Source organism: Homo sapiens, chromosome 18, assembly GCF_000001405.40.
Source record: "Homo sapiens chromosome 18, GRCh38.p14 Primary Assembly".
Taxonomy (NCBI): domain Eukaryota; kingdom Metazoa; phylum Chordata; class Mammalia; order Primates; family Hominidae; genus Homo; species Homo sapiens.
Genome location: NC_000018.10, coordinates 75,069,608 through 75,078,386, shown reverse-complemented (window position 1 = coordinate 75,078,386; position 8,779 = coordinate 75,069,608). Strand labels below are relative to the sequence as shown.

Below are 8,779 nucleotides of genomic sequence, written 5' to 3'. Positions count from 1 at the left end.
TTTACTTGCTCAAATAATCATTACTCAGGACATTCCCTTTTTTCTCTCCTATGTTGACCTGTTTCTGAATCCCAAGACTAATCTACCCTCTTTGAGAGCATATTTTTCAGTAGCTTCATGCAAAAGGGTGTAAGGGAGGCAAATGTTTGGAGAGAGTGCATATCTGACAATATCTTTATTGTACCATTATACTTGATTGATAGTTTAGCTGGTAATAGAATTATTATTTGACAAAAATTTCTGTTAGGATTTTGAAGAGATTCCTTTTTTAACTTCTAGTACCCATTAATGCTTTTAGAAGTCTGATGTCGTTTTAACTTTCATAGTGTGACTTTTATTTTGCTTTTTTTTCCTGACAAGGATATTAGTATTGCATATTCTTGGGTTCAGAAACTTCATGACAACCAATATGAGTCTTATTCACTCATTTTGCTGGGTACTTAGTGAGTTCCTTCAAGCTGGAAACTCTAATCCCTCAGTCTCATCAATTTTCTTGTATTCACTGTTTGATAATTTCCTTCTTTCCATTTTCCTCATTTTCTCTTTCTAGACCTTCTTTTAGTCAGTTTCAGATATCCTATATTGATACTTTAATTTTCTGATTTAAAAAAATCTATATTCAATTTATTTGTCTTTTGGTCCTACTTCGTGAAAACTTTCCTTGACTTTATCTTCCAGCCCATAGTTATCTACTGCATTTTTAATTCCCTGGACTTCTTTCTTCTTTTATTTTTTAAATCAATATAAAAATCAAGTATTATTTCATGGAAGCATACATTCTCTTATTATTTGAGTGCATTTTGGGGGAATTTTCTTAAAATTTACTTCTGCTGAGTTCCTTTTCTCTCTCTTATTATTTAACTTTGGGGTCTCACTGTGTTGCCCAGGCTGTTCTAGAACTCTTGGCCTGAAGTGATCATCAACCTCCACAAGTGCTGGGATCACAGGCTCTTATTTATTTTTGATCTTTTTAATTCACATGGGTCCTTAGCTTCATGTGCATAGCTGAGGGAGGCATTGAGGCTGATTGAAGCTCTTTGTGGGTACATGGGACTTCCTGGCGACTGGCCCTCTCTCCAGAGCCATCTGACAGCAGTCAGCTTTTCCACTGGAAAAACCCTTGAGTGTCTTATGTGGAGGGCTTCTCTCTGGAGTGGTTCAATTTCTCCAGAAAAAGAATCTTCTAGTCTCCTCCCTGGGGGTACATATTTGGCTTCCATGGTACTAGAAGCCTAGCCAGGGAGGCTGAGGAGGCAAGTCTCGGTGATCAGGGGGTTGAGCTTTTCTCAGTCCCATCTCGTGCTTGGCATCTCCTTCACTCTGCCGTGTCCCCAGCTCCAGAGCCTTGCTGGTTGGATTTCTCCAGATGAAAAAATTGTCCTGCTATTTCTTGGTTGGGGAGTGGGTCTGGGGGTTTGGCTGCAAAGGTCCCATAGAGGAACAGGCCTGCTTTCACTCCATGGCTCACCCGCATCCCACAGTGCCTGCAGCCAGGCCTGAGCTGGGCCCTGGAGCCTGGCTGCTGGCTAGCACTGCCAGGATGCCCCTGCCAGGAGGGGCTGTGGCCTGGGCTTTGCACCCTTTAGTGTCAGTTCCCCAGCCATGTGTGCCTTTCCCAAATCTCATCTCATCTCTGCTCCTGCCTCTTCGTTTGTTCTCTTGCTCTGTCAGTTCTCTGACTCTTCAGTGGGCTTGGGGTACGGAACAGAGGCAATATGTGTCCCATGGGGCAGGTGTTCATGGGAATAGAGTGGACTTTGAGGCTGCACTGAGAACGGGGATGGGAGGAACAGGAGCTGGGGCTAAGGATATCTTGTGACCTCACAGGATCCTCACACAGTGTGATACCTCCCCAGAAGGCCACAGCTGTGCTCCTGGGGGTGATGCAGAGGAAGCTCTCCCTCCAGACCAGGAAGATACGAACTACTTAGAACTGAATGAAACTGAGCTCGGCTGGGCCTCAGCACCATCTCACGTCAAGGAGTGGCAAGAGCAGACAGCGAGGCTCTGCATATGGGGGTGCTCTGGGTGGGGGTCACCAGAAAGGGATGCAGACAATCCACTGGTACAGAAAAAAATGCTAGAACTTCTATTTGTATGAACTTTATTAAAAAAAATCAGAAGCGATTCCAGGGACAGATGACAGGCGCCTCTCTGGGTCCCGTTGACCCTGGGGTCCCAGACCCAAGGCAGACAACTCGTAGCATTCAAGTCCTGCTCGGCAGTGTGGACTTGCACCCTGTGGGGCTCTCCCTGAGCTAATCCTTGCAAAATGTCCTCAAAACGGCAGCTGAAGAGTGACCTGAGGATGCCAGAGAGTGGCTCAGCCCTCTTCCTCCTCCTCCTCCCTCTGCTCAAGTCCACCACTGCCCTGCGGCTGGCAAGGCTGATATTCCAACCCCTCAAGAGGCTCAAATACGTTAATACGCATTTCCATCCACTTGTTGCAAAGATAGATTTTGTTCCAATGTAGAACAACAGCACAGAGCCTTTTGGGTGAGCATGCACACACGGCTTTTTTCCTCTTATTCTTTGAACAGCTCTGCTGTTGTGTGAGCGGCAGCCACCTGGACATTGTGGGGACCAGGAACCATGGCCCAGCCGGCATGGAGACCTCCAAAGATGCTCAGGCCCTGGGCACGTTGTTCCACATTCAGGGGTGCAGGCGGCTGAGCCCAAAACCAAACCACAGCCTCTGCAAAGATGCGAGGAGCAAAACCCAGGCCTTAGTGCCTGGGGTCCAGTGGACGCTGTCCTCAGAGCAGCATGTCCAGGAGCAGAGGGGACCACGGGGAGAGGAAGCCAAGCCCTGGCTGCAGGGAGCCGCTGGGGGACGCAACCTGAGGGTTCAGGGAGGGGCTGCGGGTCTCCAGCCTGTCCCCCGAGGGAACCCCTCCAAGGAAGGGAAGCACCTGCCAGGTACTGCCCTCCCACCCTCCATCCTCCCCACGAAGGGCATTTCTTGCTTCGGCATCCACGAGGGCAGGCACTGGCCCAGCCCTGCCCTCTGCAGGGAGGAGCTCCCAGGACTGTGACATCAGGTGGTGTTGAGAGAACAATGGACAGAAAACACGTAGATGGTGGCTTCTGGGATCCACAGGTGGAAAAATAAATGAAGCAGCATCAGGAGAAAGCTGAGAGGAGCCATCAGCTTCCATGCCCTGCTGTCCCCACTGTCCCCAGGAGTGCAGCCTGGGTGTAGACATCTGGACTCCCAGATCCGAGGCTGGAGTAGACAGTGTCTCATGCTGGGTGACAGCATGTGGTGATAGTGGGCAGCTGGGCCTCGGAGACCCTAGACTCTTGACAGGAAAACAGCAGCTGAGCCTCCCTCCTGGCCCCAAGGCAACCGCTGCCAGCCTCCCTTCTGGCCCGGAGAGACCTCTACTAGCCTCCCTCCTGACCCCAGGGGATCTCTGTCAGCCTCTTTCCTGGCCTGGGGGATCTCTGCTGGCCTCCGTCCTGGCCCCGGGACCTCCACCACCCTCACTCCTCCTGGCCCGGGGGAACTCACCCATCCTCACTCTTGGCCTGGAGGACCTCCGCTGGCCTCCCTTCTGGCCTGGGGGACTCAGCCCCAGCTGTGAGTCTTGTCCTGACATCTGTGTGTCAATTTTGAGTTTGTAGAAGTGGTCACAGGCCTTTCTCTTCTATTCTGAATAGGGCTGGACATTTTTCAGGCTCATCCTTCTGTCACTTTTAGTGACCATGACCTGTCCCCCAGGGTGGGAGGCACACAGCCCAGTCAGTTCACTGCACACAAACACCAGGGCTGGAGGATGCCTTGAGGACTCATGCAAATGCACCAGATGGGAAAGGAAATCAGGGAACGTCCCAGACAAAAGAGAAAATAGTGGCAGGAAGTGGAAGGAGACCTCATTGGAGGGTGGCCGAGGCTCAGAGTGAGATGAGCCCTCATCACCGACCAACGAACCCGAGAGCCACATGTTCTGAAAGGCCTCTGGCACAGAGATGGGGAGATGTCTCGGGCAGGACCACCAGGCTCAAGGGCTTCTTTGGCCATTATGAATGTGGGACCCGGTGAGGGGCCTGCCTCCCTGTCCCACTCATCTGTAAAATGGGTCCATATCCACAGCGCTGAGCTCAGAAACTTGTTGGGGCCTGAAGTGAGTTGTGCATTGTATTAGTCCATTTTCACCCTGGTATAAAGAAATACCCAAGACTGGGAAAAAGGTTTAATTGACTCACATTTCCACATGGCTGGGGAGGCCTCAGGAAACTTACAGTTATGGCAGAAGGCAAAGGGGAAGCAAGGACCATCTTCACATGGTGGCAGGAGAGAGAGAAGAGAAAGCAAAGGGGAAAGAGCCCCTTATAAAACCACCAGATCTTGTGAGAGCTCACTCACTATCACGAGAACAGCATGGGGGAAACCGCCCCCATGAGTCAATCACCTCCCACCAGGCCTCTCCCTCCACTCCCACCAGGCCTCTCCCTCAACACCTGGGGATTACAATTCCAGATGAGATTTGGGTGGGGACACAGAGCTGAAGCACATCATGCATTAAAGCACTTCGGGCAGGGCCTGGCGCCTCTGTTCTATGTGGTGTCCGCTGTTCGTATGAGTGAGGAGGGAAGCCGTGACCTAAAGCTGGGGATGGGGCCCTGTCACCTCCACTGTGTGTCACTGGGCGAGCTGCTTAGCCTTTCTGAGGCTCTGTAAGTGTGGCTAATGCCACATGTCCCGTGGGGTTCAGGAGGCAGTAGGGAAGGTCATGTATCTGGAAAGCTTTGCACAGGGCTGGCTGAATGGGGCAGGGCTTCATGGCTGTGTGCTGTCATGTTTGGAACCTGACGGCACAGGACCGAGTGATCTTCCTCCTTCTTGGTAGCCTGCTTGGGTTTCCTCTGGATAAAGAGCTGGGATGTGTCACTGGCTTAACAGAAACGAAACACAGATGTATGTGGTATGAGCCACAGAGGGTCCTGGGGCCTTGGCCCCATCAGGCTGGACCCTGCGAAGGCCACCCTGCCACGCTCCATGCTGCTGGGAGGAGGTCGGGCCTTCACCCCTTGCTTCATTCTCTGTCCCCTCAGGTTCCAGGAGGGACTCCCCTTCCCTCTGCCAGGCTCCATCTTCAACAGGAGTGACAGCGGTGTGTGTCACAACCCTAACGAGCAGCCCGGGCTGGGGCACAGCTTGGACTCACTTCGTCCTGCAGCCCAGCTCCCCAGCTTCTCCTGGGCATGGGTGGGGCGGTCGCCTTCACCTCCCACCACCAGAGGGTGCGACCTGAAGGCCCCAGGAGACGGCATGTGGCCCACCAGCCTCCCCATATCCAGGGTTTCACCTGGCCGTGCAAGTGCGCCCAGGCGGGGATGCGTTACCCTGGTGTGCAGCGAATCCCAGTTCTCTCCTTCCCTCAGAGGAGTGGAGCTAATGCCAGCAGGCCAGCTGATTTCTGCATTAGACATAGAGCCACACATTCTTACTGGAGGCGCCCAGTGACACAGCCAGCCCAGATGAGGGCACATAGGCGGCAGGGACCTGGGGCGGGTCTCCCCGGACTCTGGTGCACAGGGGCTGTGTCATCCCGGGCACCGTAGGGCTCAGCAGTGGCCTGGCCTCCACCCACCACACATCTAGTTGTGGCAACCCAGACATGGCCACTTGTCCCCTGGGGCCAGGCCACCTGGCTGAGGACCCCCAGGGCAGAGGACTGGGCTGCTGGGAGCCTCTCCGTGCAGGGAGTGTGGGGGCCTCGGCCACATGCCTCTGCCTGCACGGCCCTGCCGTGAGCGTCTGCGGCTGCTTCTCTAAGCCTTCCTTCCCCTGTCCTCCCACGGCCACCCACGGGCTCTGGCGTCCTCTCTCCAGGTTCCTGAATGTGTTCAGTCAGGTTACAGTCCACGCTCGCTGCTCTGGGAGACGTTCTGCCCTCAATGTAACTAAGACTCGCTACGCACCTGTCAGAAGGCCACCTTATATGGATTTCAGCTTCTTTGGGGACACTTTGCCATCACTGCCACGTCCAGACCGTGTTGTCTTTCTGATACTCTCCTTCAACAATTCACGGACACTCGCTGAGACTTGTTCACATCATCAAAGGGCTTAGAGCTGGTGTTAATATTAGGGTCTATCTATTCTCAGCCTTCACTCTGTAGAGGACCCACTAGCCTCAGGATGCACAGGTGACTCCTCTGACATCACAGCAGTTCGAGGCCAGCTCTTATTCATAAAATCGAAGGCCTGGAATGAAGTCACGGTTCTCAGCTCAGGACCCAGTCAGCAGATCCGCTTCCCAGAACTGCAGAACACGCCCTGGTGGCCCCAGGGCCAGGCGGGCCCGGCGAGGACGCCCTTCTAGACTGTGTGTCTCTATCGAGCCCACCAGCCTCTGCTAGAGTCTTCCAGGCCTGGAGGGCGCCTTTTCTCCAAGAGCAGCCTGTCCATTTTAGGATTGCACCTCTGGGACCTCTTGAGTCCCTCTCACTGAGAAGGTGTGTGTTTTGCCCCACTCCAAATGCATTAGAGGCCAGGAGCATGCTGAGCCATCTTCTTTAGGCCTTAAGAAGTAACTGGAAATTCAGCACCGTCCACAGCCTGCTGGGCTCACCTCAGGGGTGCTGGGTGCCATTCTGTGGCATATTTGTTGTCCTTTCCAAGGGAGACCCCATACTTCTTCTTCCCCCAGGACTTGCTTTACACAGATTTATGGTATTCGTTACATCTGAGACACTCTCGCTGTGTCTCGATTGCAGAGGCACGGAGATGTGAGGGGCATGCCTTCTGCAGTCAGATGGACAGGGTGTTATTTTCCCCTCTGGTGCTCCTCTCTGGCTTGTGGCGCACCTGCTTCATCACAGGACGCACCAGGAGATGACCCGTCACGAGATGCTGCTGCATGCATAGCAGGCCCTGCAGCCCGGGGCCCACAGCACCCCTGCTAACCAGGCTCCCGTGCAGCATTTCCTGCCTATAGTCAAAGAGCTCTCTCTAGAGAAGAGGAAGTCCCCATTGTTCAAGACTACCCAAAACACCAGCCTTCTCTGCACGGCACGTCGAGGAAAGAATAACTGTGCAGTGAACAGCACTGGCCCAAGTCTGCAGGGCGAGGAAGAAGCCAGGACATAAGCAAAGACAAATCTTACTAGAAACAGAACGAACTTGCAGGCTTCCCTTCAGATGACGATGACTGCGAGTGAAGAGGAAATCCTCTCCCAGCATCTCTTCCTGCTGGTGGAAGCTGCAGGTCACCTGACCACACATGACAAGACAGTGTGACTCAGATCCAGCGTCTGCCGTGAAGTTTGGTCTCAGGGCCCTGCTCATCAAGAAATGTTTTTGAAAAAGGTGGAAGTAGGTAGAGGGACGTGCTCTGAACCAGCGTGACCAAAAGACAGTGTGTTCACGGTGCATTCATCTGATTCAATTCCTGCCAAAGGCTTTTGTTATTTGAGAACATTATGACTAAACCAACAGAGAGGAAGGTGAGTAAGCAAACAGGAAAAACTGATGACGAATTGACAATCCATGTATTTATCCACCCATTTAAAGTAACTTGCTGAGCGCCTACCTAGCTGCACAAGAAGCTCAGGGCCTGAAGATGAACACGCAGAGGCTGTGTGCAGGGGCATGAGCTTACAGCTGGAATTAGAGATAAAGGAAAAGGCACCTGAGCCCTGTGACATGCGGGGGGTCAGGGGAGGTGGGACATATGTGGCCTCGTAGCCAGAGCCCCGCCTGTTTCCCAGGACATTCTGAATACGGGTGAGAGACTGCGCGTTGGACAATCACTGTGAGTCCCGACCCTTACCAGAAAAGTCACTCGCAGCGTCGTTTCCAGGCATAGGTTAGGATCACCATCCTCTCCCACGGGCCGTATGTTGCAATCCTGATATGAAAACGTCTTCTATCTCCTTCAACTGCGGCAGGAGCACAGGTGAAAGAGGGGAGCCCAGACTGGGGGTAGACTGTATTCGTGGGTTATGGCCCTATTTACAGATCAGTCATGATAGCTCTGCAGATTTGCTGGGGCTCTGTGGCGCAGTGGAGGCGAGGACAGAGGTGGCCCTGCTCTGGGAGATCCCTTCCTAACTGGGGCTCCCTGACGGCTTCCTGCACAGGAGGGGCCCGACGCCGGCGGGACAAGCAGGGAGCCCAGATCAGCCTTGGAAAGCTCAGGCTCAAACCAGAGCTCAATGTGGAAATTAAAAAACAAACCTTGACTTTGTGTTGGTTTTTATTCTTCCACTTAAAAAGTTATTTGAAGCGTAACGTGAGATCCTGGAGAGGACTGAAATGGCATGTCCTAGGTTCATGTTTATCCTGGTTATAAATTGTCTTTTTATGAAGTTGAAAGCCATGTTGAAATTAGGTCATTTTAAAAGAATTTATTAAAAGGTATTGAAAATGCAGGGCCATGGAGGAAGTAAATGATTCTTTGCCTGGGAGATTTAGAACGGATTTATTTAATTCTGGTAATGGGCTTTGTGACCACGGCTGTCTTCTGTCTCCAGCTGGTGAGCTCTTTAGGGGGGCATCCTTCGAGTCCAGCCTAGAGAAAAGCAGAGTTGTGTCCTGACTGCAGGGTGTAGGCATTTGGGTGGAAGGTTCTTTCCCTCATGCTTACTTCTCAAACATGAGGTTCAAGACCCACCTCTGCCTTGTCGATTTTACAGATCCAGAGTCCAAGAAAGCCAAGAGTCATCGACGTGTCCCAGCCTGTAACGGGCTGGGCCTCTTTGTTTTCTCACCAGAGGGTTTCAGGGTCCAGACGTGGGGCCTGGATTCTAGAAGCCCACATGCTAAGCCTTC

General features: G+C 52.6%; 5 annotated features.

Annotated features, from left to right (window-relative positions):
- Window positions 4,788–5,288: an enhancer, noted in NCBI's record as "H3K4me1 hESC enhancer chr18:72785055-72785555 (GRCh37/hg19 assembly coordinates)". NCBI's record gives its function as "activates a minimal SCP1, AML or CMV promoter by ChIP-STARR-seq in naive H9 embryonic stem cells {active_cell/tissue: H9 hESC(naive)}" and the evidence as "EXISTENCE:reporter gene assay evidence [ECO:0000049][PMID:30033119]".
- Window positions 5,289–5,789: an enhancer, noted in NCBI's record as "H3K4me1 hESC enhancer chr18:72784554-72785054 (GRCh37/hg19 assembly coordinates)". NCBI's record gives its function as "activates a minimal SCP1, AML or CMV promoter by ChIP-STARR-seq in naive H9 embryonic stem cells {active_cell/tissue: H9 hESC(naive)}" and the evidence as "EXISTENCE:reporter gene assay evidence [ECO:0000049][PMID:30033119]".
- Window positions 6,869–8,068: an enhancer, noted in NCBI's record as "P300/CBP strongly-dependent group 1 enhancer chr18:72782275-72783474 (GRCh37/hg19 assembly coordinates)". NCBI's record gives its function as "activates an origin of replication core promoter dependent on BRD2, BRD4, P300/CBP, MED14 and CDK7 cofactors, with strong dependence on P300/CBP, by STARR-seq in HCT116 cells {active_cell/tissue: HCT116}" and the evidence as "EXISTENCE:reporter gene assay evidence [ECO:0000049][PMID:35650434]".
- Window positions 7,070–7,219: an enhancer, noted in NCBI's record as "active region_13505". NCBI's record gives its function as "activates an Ori minimal core promoter by ATAC-STARR-seq in GM12878 lymphoblastoid cells {active_cell/tissue: GM12878}" and the evidence as "EXISTENCE:reporter gene assay evidence [ECO:0000049][PMID:35858748]".
- Window positions 7,508–8,008: an enhancer, noted in NCBI's record as "H3K4me1 hESC enhancer chr18:72782335-72782835 (GRCh37/hg19 assembly coordinates)". NCBI's record gives its function as "activates a minimal SCP1, AML or CMV promoter by ChIP-STARR-seq in primed H9 embryonic stem cells {active_cell/tissue: H9 hESC(primed)}" and the evidence as "EXISTENCE:reporter gene assay evidence [ECO:0000049][PMID:30033119]".